The 18,073-nt window shown below is 38.3% G+C and overlaps 1 long non-coding RNA gene across 1 annotated transcript in view, besides 1 other annotated feature; it reads right to left on the reverse strand.

Annotated features, from left to right (window-relative positions):
* The window catches only part of RPL34-DT (RPL34 divergent transcript), an 82,268-nt gene that overhangs the window by 63,109 nt on the left and 1,086 nt on the right, over positions 1-18,073 (reverse strand). The window lies entirely within an intron of this gene.
* Positions 9,454-11,011: an enhancer, noted in NCBI's record as "VISTA enhancer hs1050". NCBI's record gives its function as "enhancer in: forebrain[4/5] | other[3/5]" and the evidence as "EXISTENCE:transgenic organism evidence [ECO:0001131][PMID:17130149]".

Consider the following 18,073-nt stretch of genomic DNA (forward strand, 5'->3'; position numbering starts at 1 on the left):
GCCTTTTACACCCACATCCACCTCCCTCCCACCTCTGCCAACCACTTTTTAAGATTCTAGACTAACAAGATGACTAATATCCTAAAATATCCTGCATTCTGCAGAGAAACTTGGAATAATGTACAAATTAAATCCATTACTTCTCATCCCTTCAGAAATTATCAAATAATCATAAAAAGGCAGGATATTGAAATTGATGCAATCTACTGATTATATTCAGATGTTCTAATTTTACTGGTATTCATTTGTGTGTGTGTGTGTGTTTATATATTGTTTTCTGTTTTTGTCTTTATTTTTATTATGTGTTTATATATTGTTTTATACAATGTTATCACCTATGTAGGTCATGTACCCACTACTACAATCAAGATATTCAACTGTTCCAAAACACAAAGATCCTCTGTGTTGCTCTCATAACCACATCCTCCTACCTTCCCCTGCCCCCACCCTCTGGCAACCATTTATCCTGGCAATATATATCCATTTCTAAAATTTCGTCATTTCAAAATGTTAGAAAGATGAAATCACACAGTATACAACCTATAGGTGGCTTTTTTTTAATTCAGCATAATTCCCTAGCAATTTATCCCTCCCCACCTCTTAAACATAATGTCTTAAGTATTTCCTCCACATACATTGAATATCACATCCAATTGGTATTATAATTTTTTAATCCTGTGATGGGCAGAATAATGCCCACTCTCAAAGATGTCCACATCCTAATAACCCAAAACAGTTAATAGGTTATGTGGCAAAGGAGAAGTAAGGGAGCAGATGGAATTAAGGCTGCTAATCAGCTGACTTTAAAAAGAGAGATTATTCTATACTATCAAGGGGAGCCCAATATAGTCGTAAGGATTCATAAAAGTGGAAGAGCAGTCAGTTCTATGCCCAGAGTCCCAGCTACTGGGGAGGATGAGGTGAGAGGATTGCTTGAGCCAAGGAGTTCCAGGCCACTCTGGGCAATATAGCAAGACCCCATCTCACACAAATGTACAGACGGACAGACAGACAGACAGACAGACAGACATAAGTGTGGGAGAGAGAGACAAAAAAGAAAACCAGAGAGGTAGCAGTGTGAGTGTGAGACGGACTCAACCAACACTGCTGTCTTTGAACGTGGAAAAAAGGTGCCATGAGCCAACAAAAGCAGCTGTCCTCTAGAAAATGGGAGAGACAAGGAAATGCAGTCTCCCCTAGTCTCCAGAAGGAATGCAGCCCTGCTGACACCTTGATTTTAGCCTAGTGAGACTCATTTTGTGCTTCTGCTCTCTAGAACTATCAGATAATACATTTGTATTGTTTAAGCCCTTGTGTTTGCAGTGACTTGTTAGAGCTGCAATAGGAAACAAATTTAAACCATTAAACATAATTTTTAAAACATAAGAGATAAAAAATATTCTATTATAGTTACCCTATTTTTTCTCATTCCGTTGTTCTTTCTTTCTTTCTAAAGTTCTATGCCTGCTGCTATCATTTCCTTTGAAGAATATCCTTAGTCATTCTTTAAAGGTAGGTCAACTGGTAATTCTCTTAGTTTCCTTCGTCTGAGAAGAAATTAAATTTAAATACCCAGTATTGTAACCATAATAAAATCATTTTTATTTTATTTTTTTAATTTTTTTCTTTGTTTTTATTATTATTATTATTACTATTATTATACTTTAAGTTTCAGGGTACATGTGCACAATGTGCGGGTTAGTTACATATGTATACATGTGCCATGCTGGTGTGCTGCACCCATTAACTCGTCATTTAGCATTAGGTATATCTCGTGCTAACCCTCCCCCCTCCCCCCACCTCACAACAGTCCCCAGAGTGTGATGTTCCCCTTCCTGTGTAGCTTAAAAATGAACCAAATTTAAATATAAAATGAATGCATACCACTAATGCAGAATAAAGTGGAGATACAGAAACTAGTACTACAACTGGGCTATTAAAAGAAAAGGACTGGCCGGGTGCAGTGGCTCACGCCTGTAATCTTAGCACTTTGGGAGGCCGAGGCGGGCAGATCACCTGAGGTCAGGAGTTCGAGAGCTGCCTGACCAATATGGTGAAACCCCATCTCTACTAAAAACACAAAAATTAACCGGGCATGGTAGCGGGTGCCTGTAATCTCAGCTACTCAGGAGGCTGAGGCAGGAGAATCGCTTGAACCCAGGAGGCAGAGGTTGCAGTGAGCCAAGATCGTGCCATTGCACCCCAGCCTGGGGGACAGAGCAAGACTCCGTCTCAAAAAAAAAAAAAAAAATGCCGGGCGCAGTGGCTCACGCCTGTAATCCCAGCACTTTGGGAGGCCGAGACGGGTGGATCATGAGGTCAGGAGATCGAGACCATCCTGGCTAACACAGTGAAACCCCGTCTCTACTAAAAATACAAAAAATTACCCAGGTGTGGTGGCGGGCGCCTGTAGTCCCAGCTACTCGGGAGGCTGAGGCAGGAGAATGGCGTGAACCCGGGAGGCAGAGCTTGCAGTGAGCCAAGATCGCACCACTACACTCCAGCCTGGGGGACAGAGCAAGACTCCGTCTCAAAAAAGAAAAAAAAAAAAAGAAAAGGACTGAAAGAAAGCATGTCACAAATTCTACGATGAATGGAAATTGCAATTTGCTGTAACACAGCAAAATGAAAAAAGCTATTTGTGTGTAAAAAATATTTTAAGCAATAAATTAGACAATATTAAGAGACATTTTAAGTAAATACATAATGAATTTGGTAAGACATTTCCCCTTGGAAGTCAAAAAAGAAATCAAAATTGTAGTTCAAAATAGGAGTTGAATATACGACCAAAAAATCCTTAATGCTTCTTAACAGGATCTGAGATTATAATTTTATTTTATTTATGTTTTTAAGACAGAGTCTTGCTGTGTTGCCCAGGCTGGAGTGCAGTGGCACGATCTTGGCTCACTGCAACCTCTGCCTCCCAGGTTCAAGCGATTCTCATTCCTCAGCCTCCCAAGTAGCTGGGACTACAGGTGCACGCCACCAGGCCTGGTTAATTTTTTTGTATTTTTTGGTAGAGATGAGATTTTGCCATGTTGGTCAGGCTGGTTTCAAACTCCTGACCTCAGTTGATTTGCCCACCTCAGCCTCCCAAAATGCTGGGATTACAGGCATAAGCCACCGCACCTGGCCCCTGAGCTTGTAATTTTAGACAGCTAAAAGATGTGTTGGATTCTTACAGAAAGAAAGGAGGGAGGGGAGGAAGGAAACAGAAAAGGAAGGAAGGAAGGAAGGAAGGAAGGGAGGGAGGGAGGGAGGGAGGGAGGGGAAAGGGAGGGATGAAAAATGAAAGTCATTTTAAGTCAGATAGTAAAACAAATTATTTCAGTTGTGGAAATTTTGCTAGAAAATTATGAGAAAAAGACTAAAGAAGATATTTTACAAAAAGTGAAAGACCTTCAACTAAGCCATTAAAAAATGGCCCATAGATTACAAGAACTTTCCAACGATACAGTATCAAAGATCAATTGATTAACAATTTAAAAAATTACAAGTACTTTTCTTTAGCTTTAAAATGGATGATGTGATATAAGAGACAATGTCAGCCGGGCATGGTGGCTCACATCTGCATTCCCAGCACTTTGGGAGGCCAAGGCGGGTGGATTACCTTAGGTCACAAGTTCAAGACCAGCCTGGCTAACATGGTGAAACCCCGCCTCTATTAAAAAAAAAAAAAATTAGCCAGGCGTGGTGGCAGGCACCTGGAAACCCAGCTACTCGGGAGGCTGAGGCAGGAGAATCACTTGAACCTGGGAGGTGGAGGTTACAGTGAGCCAAGATCGTACCATTGCACTCCAGCCTGGGCTACAGAGTGAGACTCTATCTCAAAAAAATGACAATGTCTATTAATACTTTGGGTATATTTGTGTCTCAAAGGACTTCCAAAACTATGAAGTTTTATTAAATTTGAATTAAAAACACCTAAATTTCTGGAGCAGTTTTTCATCTTTTATAACCATCAAAGAAGAATTTGTGCCTATAATGACAGATGGTGGCCCATATATGTTAGGTAAAAATCCAGATTTGTTGGAATGGTAAGACAAGAGATTTCTATTTCATTTATTGCTTTGTTCCACTGTATGATATGTATTGAAAATCTTTGTGCTCAGTTTTTTAAAGCACACCATATGAAAACTGTTATGGAGTACAATTACTTTAAAGTCATTTAGGGCCAGGCGTGGTGCCTCACACCTGTAATCCCAGCACTTTGGGAGGCCAAGGCAGGCAGATCACCTGAAGTCAGGTGTTCAAGATCAGCCTGGCCAACATGGTGAAACCCAGTCTCTACTAAAAATACAAAAATTAGCTCGGCATGGTGGCGGGTGCCTGTAATCCCAGCTATTCGGGAGGCTAAGGCAGGAGAATCGCTTGAGCCCAGGAGGCAGAGGTTTCAGTGAGCCGAGATCGCATCACTTCACTCCAATCTGGGTGACACAGCAAGACTGCCTCTAAATAAATAAATAAATGTCATTTAGTATCTATACACTAATGCTATAAATCATTGCCAAGTTATGGAACTTTTGAAAGAAATAGACTGATAGAATTAAGACTGATTTTCTTAATCTTGTGTTCTCTGCCTGTGCTCATTGATAATAGTTGTGGAAGAATTTTTATTTTATTTTATTTTTATTTTTTTTTTGAGATGGAGTCTCGCTCTGTCACCCAGGCTGGAGTGCAGTGGCACAATCTCAGCCCACTACAAGCTCTGCCTCCTGGGTTCACGCCATTCTCCAGCCTCAGCCTCTCAAGTAGCTGGGACTACAGGTGCCCGCCACCAAGCCCGGCTAATTTTTTTTTTTTTTTTTTTTTTTTTAGTAGAGATGGAGTTTCACCATGTTAGCCAGGATGGTCTCAATCTCCTGACCTCGTGATCCACCCGCCTCGGCCTCCCAAATTGCTGGGATTACAGGCGTGAGCCACTGCGCCCGGCCAAGAATTTTTAGAAAGTACTTTTAACTCCAATTTAATATGTTCCTGAATTGGAAGGAATATTCAATAATCAAAGACAAAATGACAATATGATTTATGTTTTCTCACAGATATCACACTACATATGAAAGAGCTAAATTTTAAACTCCAAAAGAAAGGAAGAGCTTATTAGTGATTTAGCCAGACAGGAACAACAATTTATGTTGAAATTGAAACTCTTCATAATAAAAATCAGAAACAATGACTTTATACATTTTTTTTTTTTTTGAGACAGGTTCTCACTCTGTTGCCCAGGCTGGAGTACAGTGGTGCAATCTCAGCTCACTTCAATCTCTGCCTCCTGGGCTCAAGTGATCCTCCAGCCTCAGACCCTCAAGTAGCTGGGACTACAGGTGCGAGCCAGCATGCCTGACTAATTTTTTTTGTATTTTTTGTAGAGACAGGGTTTCACCGTGTTGCCCAGGCTGGTATTGAACTGAGCTCAAGCAATCCACCCACCTCACCCTCCTAAAGTGCTGGGATTACAGGCGTGAGCCACTATGCCTGGCCAGAATGGTTTTAGTTTTTAATGTGACTAAAAATTTTAAATTACATATGTGACTCACATTTCATTTCTAGTGGACAGCACTGATGTAAATATTATCCTTTGTTTTTGATGCTGCAACTATCTTCTCCTTGTCTATTAACTTTGTTTTTGGTAACCTTTGCTGAAAAAAATGCTGTAACATTAATGTAGCTAAGTCATCAATTTTCCACTTATTGTTTGTACTTCAATGGTTTAATAAACTCCACAAAGATAATTCTTTATTTTCTTCTTCTGGTTCTGAATACTCACCTGTCTCATTTAGGTCTTTAATTCATTTAGAGTCCATCTTTCTATAGTGTAACGTAAAAGTCCAGCTTTTTCTCCAGATGATGAGCCAGTTTTCCCAATACTATATTCTAAACAAGGCATTCTTTTCCATTTTTACCACATTTATTGTATATCAAATTCCCATATGCACACAGATCTATTTCTGAACTCTCCCTCTGTTCCGTTCATCTGTTCCTACACCAGAACCACACTGCTTTTGCTTTGTAATATTCCTCAATAACTAGTAGGTTGAATCACTCATTCGTATGCTGATATAAATATATCAGCCTAAAACATCCCAACAAAAGTTTCTTTACTTTCCCTTTGCTTTATCTTATCGGCTATAGAGTTTGGCCTTTTAAGTAATATTAATAAATATTGCCATTAGAACTTTCTTTGACTGCCTTTTCTTTAAGGATGTTTTTCTCAGTAGATCTTTTAGAGCTGTGATAGAGTTAAAAACTCATCTGCTCATATCTGATAAACCACATGGATGATGAGCAAACCTCTAGTGAGCACCTGCTATTGCAACTGTCTCTTGCATCAGTTAGAGTTCTTTGGCTTCCACTGATAAAAATCAGTGGAGGAAAAGCTGAACAGCCAGGATTCAAGAAGAACAAGAATCAATGTTGGCTACTCTAACCTTCTCTTACTCAATAAGACATGAGTTCTTCAAACTCTTCCTCTCATACCTGTTTACTTTTTTTTTTTTTAAACTGGTTTCTTGAGAAAAAAAAAAAAAGAGAAAGGACAGATGTTTTACCTCTTTCCTAACCACGTGGTATCTTCAGTCTCATATTATTGTTATTAATATTTATTATACCAGACAGACAGCTCTGGGGATAAAGGAATCGATAGCTAGTGTTTCCAAGGGAAATGGATCAGCTGTAATCATTTCCCTTCTTTGCATCATTCCACTTATAAATCAGTTTTTAGGAGATGGAATAAGATTTAGACCAAAGCAGGTTCCCCTAGCATGGGCACTAAAGGATCACTCTCTTATTTGGTGCCATCGTTGTTTTCCAAAATTCAATTACATTTTAACCATGTAACTCTCTCATTCAGACACTTTAAGCAACTTTCAGTGTCTACAAATTAAATACAGATTCCTTAGCGTGGCATTCAAGGTCTTCCTAATATGACCACAACTTGCCCTTGTAGGCATATCCTATACTTTCCCATCTTCAGGCTTTTGTTGTGTTATTTCTTCTTTGTGAAACACCTTTGCCTTTGGAAATTCTACCAGTGTCTTAAGGCGTATTTCAAATGCCACATCCTCAATGTTGGCTATCTAACCTTCTCCCACTCAATAAGACATGAGCTGTCCTTCAAACTCTTTCTCTCATACCTGTTTTACCTTTTTCTAAAACAAAAAACAAACAAACAACAACAAAAAAATGGTTTCTTGAGAAAGGACAGATGTTTTACCTCTTTCTTACCATGTGGTGTCTTCAGTCTCATATTATTGTCATTAATATTTATTATATTATCTATTCTCTGAGCAGCCCTTGCATCCTTCTCCTTCCCTTTTTGCTTGTTACCCAGAGTTGGCTTCTGTTGCCTGCAACTAAAGAACCATGATATAATTTTTTGGTCTCTTTTAATTAGTTTAGACAATTAGACTCCTGCACATTTCTGTCACACTTGCTTGTTGTGGTTTATTCTTGACTGAATCTTTATGAAAGACACAAAATTAGAAGTTTTTAAAAAATGTTTTTTCCGTCTGCATTTGGTAGGGTATAGGGATTAAGGCTGGAAATCAGGGTAGGGTAAGGGGCACAAAACACAAATAGAAAAGACAGAGGAAGAGAACAGAATAAACGAAGGGGTAAGTTTTTAAAATATGTTGAAGTGCCCTCCCCTCAGAGAGATTAGATCAGGTAGAAGCAACAGTTTGAGAACTGATGCAAGGCTGAAAAATGGGTACTGGGGGGTGGGAGTGAGGTGAGAAATGTAGTGAATGGCCAAGGCTTTAAGAATTTTTAAATCCTTTGGAGAGGAAAATGAATGCAAGGCCCAGATTCAGCAGAAAGTCTCTCAGGATTCATGGAAGTCCATATTCTGAGGTAATGGTGCTTGAGCCTATAACAGTTATAAGAATTTTCAAGAAGAGTTTTGGTTTTTTAAAAAATATATGAATTATTGCTTATATAATTTATTTTTATTTTTATTTTATATGGAGTCTCACTCTGTCACCCAGGCTGGAGTGCAGTGGCGTGATTCCAGCTCACTGCAGCCTCTGCCTCCTGGGTTCAGGCGATTCTTGTGCCTCAGTCTCCCAAGTAGCTGGGATTACAGGTGCCTGCCACCATGCTTGGCTAATTTTTGCATTTTTAGTAGAGATGGGCTTTTACCATGTTGGCCAGGCTGTTCTTGAACTCCTGACCTCAAGTGATCCGCCTGCCTTGGCCTCCCAAAGTGCTGGGATTACAGGCGTGAGCCACTGTGCCCGGCCAGAATTATCGCTTATATAATTTATATTTTGGGGTTGACATTAGTAAATATAGAAGTGGGGGAGCAGGACATAAATGTGGGGAGGGGGAATCATCGGAGCTTAGGAGTGAAAGACTGTAGTTTTACTTCAATATTTCCAGTCCCTGGCACTGCACTGACACAAAAAGAACCCTCAAACGCTTATGAGTAAATCGGTAAGTTGATGAATGAATAAAGTAGCAAAAAATCAGGATCCGTGAGCTATTCTGAAGGATTTCAGAGATGCTGCAAATTTGCAAGAGTAGGAATGACCATGGAGAGAATGTTCTTACATAGTTCAGTTTAACTGAAATATTTGTGAGATACATACTCTGTGCTCTGCACCTGCACTTCGGGAAAATACAAAGACAAGGAACAGTCCCTACTCCTACATAACTCACAATTCTGTATGTGAACAGGGAGAAATCGCAATATTAATAGCAATTATATGAGACTGAAGATACTACATAGCAAGAAAGAGGTAAAACATCTGTCCTTTCTCAAGAAACCAGTTTAAAAAAAAAAAAAGTAAAAAGATATGAGAGGAAGAGTTTGAAGGACAGCTCATGTCTTATTGAGTGGGCCAACATTGAGGATGTGGAATTTGAAATACGCCTTGAGGCACTGTTAGAATTTCCAAAGACAAAGGTGTTTCACAAAGAAGAAAAAACAAAAACAAAACCCTGGAGATGGGAAAGTATAGGATATGCCTAGAAGGGCAGGTTGTGGTCATATTAGGAAGACCTTGAATGCCATGCCAAGGAATCTGTATTTAACTGTAAGCACTGAAAATCACTTAAAGTGTCTGAATGAGAAAGTTACATGGTTAAAATCAGTGTTTTAAAGAAAATGTGCCTGTCAGAGTTTTGTAGAATCTTGCTGCTCAAAGAGTGGTCAAGGACCAGAAGCATGGGCTTTACCTGGGAGCCTACTAGCAATGCAGAATCTCAGGTCCCCATCCCAGACCCACAGAATCTAAACCTGTACAGTAGCAAGAGCCCCAAGCAATTTGTTTGCACATTAAAATTTGAGAACCACCGGTATAGAATATAATTGAAGAGGAAGACTTGACCTAAGAAAACCAGTTAGAGGACTAGGCCAAAGATAGCTGAACAAAGAGGGTGGCTAATGAGGGAGCCCGGAAAGGGAGAAGACAGAAATGACACAGGGCTTTTAGCCTGGATGGCGATGGCATATTTCTGCCTCACTCATTTTCCTAATAGGTTAATCCTCTTCCCTTATTCATTAAAGTCATTGTTTTCTGTTAATACATTTTTTCTACTTGGTTCTTCTATTCATTAGCAAGCACTGCTTCTTTCTGACTGTGCTCATAGGTCATAAAGCAAATGAGAAATTTTCTTGAGCCTCGTTCTTAAGGGATGCAGATTGCAACTACTGCTGTGCTATACGCTGGAGGAAAGAAATCACATAAAGCGATTAGAAAGGAGAAAAAAAATAAGTGAAACTACCTTCTCATGTACTTCAGGGTTTTCCTCCCTTCTGAGTTTAATATGAATCAAACAGGTGTGCATTCAAAGCATGCAAGTGTGTCTTCATTGGCTTTTAATCATCAGCTTGAAGAAAATTCAGATCTCTCAGAAAGAGAGAAAAGTAAACAGCTGAGCACTGTGACTCATTTACACTTCAAATATACTTTGAATTGGTTATTCCTCAATTAATCAAATAGCTGGTGTATCCCTAAAGTAGTATAAAGTGACGCACTGTGTGAAATCAATTTTTCTTTCCAAAATCATTAAATCCAGTAGCCTGTGACTACATCCCTGCTAATTCTGGTACCAGTCCTTTCCTCCTCCATTAACTTTGGCACGCCTAACAGCCTGTCAAGAATAATTTCCCAGGACGTAAATAATTCAGAAATTAAAAATTAATAAATAATAACAGAGAACTACTGGGAAATAGGCTGGGTCAATTAGTGCGCTCTGCATTCTGTTTCTTCACAGCAGGGGGAGGCAGCCACATTCGTTACTTGAATCTTCCTTTCGATTCTGCAGTCTGATTTACAGCTCTTCATTACTGGATCCAGTCAGACGCAATTACCTCCATCACTATCTCAGTTCCTAACTTCAAAGAAACGAACGTTTTCTTGTCTGCTTTTTTTCTCCTTGAAGCAGGCTCAGCTTGACATCCCTGGAATTTCTACCACGCAGACTAATTAATAAGTCTTCGACTTATCATATTCACTTCTCTTCTTTGATGTGCTACCTTAGTCAATCATCCCATTTAATTAGAATTTCAATGATAACTTTACTTATCTTGTGGCTAGATGTAAATTAAAATAATGGGATTTTAATTCTCTTTCGTATGGGGTTATGACATTTTGGAAGAAAAAGTTTCAACACAAACATGATATTATGTACTTTTTACTTTTCATGTGGGGGTGGGGGAGCATTTTGCAAAATTATTTTCTTCTTGCTACAAAAGAGTATTGCTGTTGAGCAAGCAATAATGAAAATGCACTGGATTTTTCTATAGCATCTTTTCACCAAGCTTTCATAGGAAAACAATTGTCTTCATTTGCATAAATAATTGGAACAAGACACAGGACGTGGAACAAGACACAAAGGCAGTGGCTACGTTTTGGGAAAAAAAAAAAAAAAAGGATCTCCAGAAAGTCAAGGAGTTGACACACTAACCCTTTTAACTCTTTTGCCCTTTTCTGTCAATCCATGCTATGTTTCCATTTTGATAAATTCTATAGTGGTTTTTCTAGAGTTCCCCAAAATAACACAAGGAAATAAAAATGTTCTCCTAAGAACACACCAAACATTAGTAAGGTATAAGGTGTAACAGTGATGTGCAAAACTGGTTATAAGGAAGAGCAGAAGGCAGCATTTCATTTCTAGAAAACAATACTAAGACCATTTATCTATTGAGCAGCCATGGTGTGCCAGCCTCAGCTACGTGCTTTATCTCCGTTAATTCCCGCAGCACACCCACAATATGGGATTCCCACTTCCATGTTACAGATAAAGAGACAGTCTCAGTGAGGTTAACTTGCTTTCTGAAGTTCACAAAGGTAGCACGTGAGGAGAAAGAAATCAAAAGACAAGGCACGAGAGAAACAATTTAAGCCTTTAAGCATAGCATTTAAAACTTTCCATCGTCTGGCTTCAAACTGCTTGCTAAACTCACTCTCTTCCTACTTTACTACATTAACTCATCCAGAATAAAACTCCAGGCATGAGTTTAGTATCTACTGTATTATACCTTATTAATAATATATGCCTTATTAATACATTTTTGATGGTTGCTTTAATGCTTATAGACATTGGCAGAAATTCAGTCATTGTGGATGTAAATAGGGGGCATGTTTGTATATAAAACACCATGGTGACCTCAATCATTATAAATACATTGTTTTTAAATAGCAAGTACAAACAGAAAATCATATACTATATATACAAGCTTAAAAGAAGAAAATAAGCTTTGCTCAGATTTTCTTATTTTTTCCCAGGAATAAAATTATTAGCTGTTTCATTGGTTGCTTTTAAAAAAGTTACTAACAATAGGAACATCAATGGGAATTGCACATAATTATTCTGCCCTTAATCTCAATCATTCCCTTCCTCCACCCTCAGTAACAATGTCCAGTAAGACAAGAAGCAGAGGTTACAATGACCAATAGAAATTTATTTCATTAGTAAGATGTGAAACCACTGTATTTATACCATTTTGAATCTAACCTTTCGGGGATTTAGTACAGTTGTTCTTTAACAATAGAACTTCGCTCATTTGCTACTTAAGACATGATTATTTAAATTAAAGTTAATTGGTTTCCTTACTCCCCTTTAGGGCTTTAGGCTCAGAACATTTCTATTAGAAAAATCTAATTTGTTTCAAACTCCTATTTCTAAAATTTACAGTGGTTATTTAGAGTGGCTCTGATATTTTAACTCTTTGTAGCAAAACTTGTACAATGTGTTTGTGTTTTAAGCTAAGTGTTATTACCAAAAAGTCAAAAAGTTAAATTTTTTTTAAACTTTATAAAGTAAAAAAGTAACAGTAAGCTTATTAAGGTTAGTCTATTATTGAAGAAAAAACTTTTTATAAATTTAGTGTATATAAAACATATATATAGTGTGTATATAGAGTATATATATTTATCTTTTTATATATAAATATATATATAGTGTATACAAAGTGTATAGTGTTTATAAAGTCTACCATAGTGTATAGTAATGTCCTAGGCCTTCCCATTCACTCACCACTCACTCACTGACTCACCCAGAGCAACTTCCAGTCCTGCAAGCTCCCTTTATAGTCAGTGCCCTATACAGGTGTACCATTATCTTTTATATCATATTTTTCTTCTACCTTTTCTATGTTTAGATATGTTTAGATACACAAATACTTACCATTGTGTTACAATTGCCTACACTATTCACTGCAGTAACATACTGTACAGGTTTGTAGACTAGAAGCAGAAGGCTATACTATAAAGCCTAGGTGTGCAGTAGACTCTACCATCTAGGTTTGTGTAAGTACACTCTATGATGTTCACACAAAGACGAAATCACCTAACATATTTCTCAGAATGTATCTGTCATTAAGCAACATATGACTATAATTGGGCCATTCACAAATAATCACGAGATTAATAAAAGGCATTGATTCATGGTGCAATATAGGCTATGAGGCCCAATAATGGAAAAACGTGTAAAAGTTCTACAATGAAAATGCTTTTAATCTCTTTACTTTATCTCCATAGCTGTTAAGTCTAACCTTCGCTAGAATACTAAATTTTATTATTTGATATTCTTCTTGAATAATTCCTTGGTAGGCGCTAATCTCTACTTATTCATTCATTTAAAAAATATTTTTGAATGCTTACTGTTTGCCAAGCACTGCTCTAGGTATTGGAAACATGTAAGTCAAAAAAAGGAAAAAAGAAAAAAAGGACCAAACTTCCTAGCCTCATGGAGTATACTTGTAGTGGAGACAGAGTACACTTGTAGTGGAGACAGACGACACACAATAAGCACAATAAATAAATATATAGTATGTTAGAAAGTGATAAGTGTGAGGAAAAAAAGAACCTGGTGGGAGGAACTAAAAATGCCAATGGAGGACAGCAAAAAGTGCAATTTAAATGAGATGATTAGGATGGGCCTCATTTCAAAAGTGACCTTGAGCAAAGGCATAAAGGAAATGGGAGCAAGCCATGCAGATACGTGGGGAACAGCATTCCAGGCAGAAGAACAGCCAGTGAGACATGAAAACCATGATGTCTTACGCAAATTAGAAAAGGCGCCCCATCACCCTCCTCCAATATGATTCACTACATTAGTTGATCTAAAGAGAAAATTTAAACTCTCATCTTAATAGATAGTAAGAAGGCAATTCATAAATTAATATCCCTTCCTGACATGGTAAAAAAAATAAATAAATAGTAATCAGTGGCTATTTTCTTAACATATGACATAGTGGAGAAACATGGATGTTTTCCTGCATTCAGGAATTAGACAAAAATGCCATTAATCTATCTACTATTTATATTTAGTATTGCATTTGAGATATAAGCCAATGGGATTGAATAATAGGCATAAGAATTAGAAAGGAGGAGGTAATATCTGAAAAAAATAAAATCAATAAAAAGTTAATACCAATCATAAGATAATTCAGTAAGGTAGCAGGGCATACATGAATAAACAAAAATCCATAGCCTTCAATTTAAAAGAAAACAATTAAATGGAGTAGTGGGTAAGAGTATACCACTTATGTTAACAGCAAAACAGATAAAATACCTAGAGATAAACTTAATAAGAAATGTACAGAGCTTTTAGGGATAAAACTTTAAGGACACAGCAAACAGATATTCCATGTTCTTAGATAAGATGACTCAGGATCATAAAGATGTCAAGTATCCCTAAGCTAATACACAAACTTGACACATAAAAATGTCAACTTTTGTTTGGAGTTAAACAAGTTGATGCTAAAAATTTGTATGTAATAATCAGTAAGAATTGTCAAGAAAACCCTGAAAAAGTAGAACAACATTGGGAGGGGTCAGTCTTACTAGATATTATATCATTTATTATACAAAGCATCTTGAATTAAAACAAAGTGGTCTTAGAAAATGAGTAGATATCTAGGACCTAAAATCAATTTTTCATAAAACCAAGAGAAACATCAGACCGTACAAACAGATCCTAAGAAAACCCAGATAATGAAACATTGAAATAATTATGCTAAGTGTGTTTAAGCATTCAAAGAAAAAAGTCAAGACTGAAAATTTCAGCCTAGAATGGGAAACATAAACAGAAAAACAAATTGAAAGTTTAGAATAGAAAAATGTAATAACTGAAATTACAAACTCGAGGGATGGGTTTAACAGCACATTAGACATTGCTGGACTGGGAGACAGGTCAGAAGCATGTTAAGAACAAAAAGGTTTAAATATTAAAGAGCGGGAAAGAAACTATGGTGGTTTTAACATATAATCCTAAAATCACTGATAATCTTTCCATCAAGAATGAGGATATATAGGCTGGGCACAGTGGCTCACGCCTGTAATCCCAGCACTTTGGGAGGCCGAGGCAGGTGGATCACGAGATCAGGAGATCGAGACCATCCTGGCTAACATGGTGAAACCCCGTCTGTACTAAAAAAAAAAAAAAAAAAAAAAAAAAAAGAAAAGCCAGGCATGGTGGTGTGCACCTGTAGTCCCAGCTACTCAGGAGGCTTAGTCAGGAGAATGGTATGAACCCAGGAGGCAGAGCTTGCAGTGAGCCGAGATTGCACCACTGCACACCAGCCTGGGCAACAGAGCAAGACTCTGTCTCAAAAAAAAAAAAAAAAAAAAAAAGAATGAGGATATATGTCTACTGCCTTTGAATCTTTTTAGGTTTCTGACACCCTTAACCAATAGAGTATGATTGAAGTGATGCTATGTGACTTCCAAGGCCATGCATCTTCTGTTGTTTCTCTTACAATGCTTTTTTCCTAGATGCTTTCTCTTGAGAACCTACCTCCCAGAACCAAATTGCCATTTGTGAGAATTCTAAGCCTTATAGAAAGGCTATATGTAGTTGCTCTGGTTGACAGTTCCATATGAGAGCCCAGCCTTTGAAGCAGCCCAGTCCAGGCATTAAACTAAAAAGTGTTCAGATAATTCTACCTTCTACCCCCACCCCATGATGATTAATTTCTTTTTTTTTTTTTTCAGATGGGGTCTCACTCTGTCACTCAGGTTGGAGTGCAGTGGTGCCATCTCAGCTTACTGCAACCTCTGCCTCCCAGGCTCAAGTAATCCTCCCACCTCAGCCTCCTGAGTAGCTGAGACCACAGGTATGCACCACCACACCTGGCTAACTTTTTTGTATTTTTGGTAGAGATGGGGTTTTGCCATGTTGCCCAGGCTGAACTCAAGCAATCTGTCCACCCTGGCCTCCCAAAGCACTGGGATTACAGGTGTGAGCCACCACGCCCAGCCTGATGATTAATTTCATGTGTCAACTTGACTGGGCTAAGAGATGCCCAGATAGCTGGTAACATTATTTCTGTGGGTCTGTGAAGGTGGCTTCAGAAAAGATTAGCATTGGAATCAGTACACTAAGTAACGAAGATTGCCTTCACAATGTAGGTGAGTATCATCCAATTTGTTGAGGGTCTGAATAGAAAAACATGCGGAGGAGAGTGAATTTTCTCTCTGCTTAAGCTGGGACATTCATGGTCTCTGTTCTTGAATATCAGCACTCCTGGTTCTTGGGACTCTGGACTCAGACTAGGGCTTATACGACCAGCTGTCCTGGTTTTCCAGCTTGCAGATGGCAGATTGCAGGGCCTCTCTGCCTTAATCACATGAGCCAATTCCTATAATAAATAAACAAATAAATGTATACCCTATCAGTTCTGTTTCTCTAGAGAACCCATGCACACCTTAGCTGTTCAAGTTACCCCCCAGTTGAGGCTCCAATCATTACATAGTAAAGGCAAACTATTCTCATTATACCATGTAGAAATTCCTGATCCATAGAATCCATGAGCATACTAAAATGATTATTTTATGCTTAGTGGCATAAAGTACTGAAAGCAAGAAAATCAAGAAAAAACAACTGCCAATAACGAGTTCTATTTTTAGCATAACAAAAGCTGTTGGTGTCTTGCAACACATTCCTTCATTCCACTTCTAATTTTGGCTTCCTTTGTAGTCTACTGATTAGTAATCATAATCACATGTACAAAACCCCTTAAAATTTTTTTTTTAGAGACAGGATCTCTCTATGTTGCTCAGGCTGGCAACTTCAGTGGAAGTGCAGTGGTGCAATCTTGGCTCCCTGCAACCTCCACCTCCCAGGCACAAGTGATTCTCGTGCCTCAGCCTCCTGAGTATCTGGGATTACAGGCACCTGTCACCACGCCCAGATAATTTTTGTATTTTTAGTAGAGACGGGGTTTCGCCATGTTGGCCAGGCTGGTCTTGAACTCCTGGCATCAAGCGATCCACCTGCCTTGGCCTCCCAAAGTGCTGGGATTACAGGGATGAGCCACCACACCCGGCCTAAAGAATCTCATTTGTTTTTTTAATCTGTCTTTGTTCTCTGTTCATTAATTTCTGTGTGCACTTAATAAATATTTTACAAATTTTTGTGAAATTAAAATAAGGTGAACCTATCATACTTTTTTTGGCTTGGACTGGGAAACTTTGAGGTTTAACATTTTTTTATTTAAGGGTTTTTTGATAAAAGCTATTAATTGTAATGTGGTCAGATTTATTGGTCTTTTCTGAGTTTGTGCTTTTTGTGCCTTGTTTAAAAAATCCTCTTCTACTCCAACGTCTATAAGATAGTCACCTATATTTCCTAATAAATTAAAGCCTTATTATTGACTCATTTAAGGTTTTTTTTTTCAGTGTAGAGTGACTTAAGGATACAATTTTTTCTTTCCATATGTATAACCATTTTTCCCAACTTCATTTACTGAATAGTCACCAATCTTTCCCCACCAATCTGATATATTACCTTTGTCATATACCAAAGTTTCATACATTTATTATTATTATTATTATTATTGAGATAGGATCTCATTCTGTTGCCCAGGCTGGAGTATGGTGGCACAATCATGGTTCACTGCAGCCTCAAACTTCTAGGCTCAAGTGATCCTCCAGCCTCAGCCTCCTGAGTAGGTGGGACTAAAGGTGTGTGCTACAACACCTGGCTAATTAAAAAAAAAAAATTTGTAGAGATGGGCGTCTCGCTATGTTGCCCAGGCTGATCTTTAACTACAGGTCTCAGTGATCTTTCTGTATCAGCCTCCCGAAGTGCTAGGATTAACAGGCATGGGCCACTGTACCTGGCTGTCTTTGAAGTTTTTAATAAGATTGCCATATCTCTCTCAAGACTGATCAAGAAAAAATGCAAATACAAATTTAAAGAGAGGGAAAAATAGTATTATGGAACTGGGTTAAGTACCTTAAGGGAAAACTACAACAATGAGACCACTATTCTTATCTACTTGGGTGGGGGAAGGCACGGACAGAGACGTAAACAACAGCATAGTGTGCCAAGGGCTCCCATCTCCTGTTCTCTTCTGCTCTGCAAAGTCTCTCTTAAAATATAGAGAACATATTGCAAGTAAATACATTCATTAGTGCATTTATTCAAAAACCACATTTGTCTCTCTATGCAAGCTTCCATCTCAATGCCTGGCACAGAGACGAAAAGGATTTCAGAGGACAAAAATCAAAGGACTGGAAAGGAGGGAAGTAGCTGATGACAAGGTCGGGGGAGAAGCAGCTATTTGAGAGTGAGCAGAGGGAAGGATATAACCAGAGCCTTCCATCTGGTGTTGTGACAA

Source organism: Homo sapiens, chromosome 4 (genome assembly GCF_000001405.40).
Source record: "Homo sapiens chromosome 4, GRCh38.p14 Primary Assembly".
In the NCBI taxonomy this organism is placed as follows: Eukaryota; Metazoa; Chordata; class Mammalia; order Primates; family Hominidae; genus Homo; species Homo sapiens.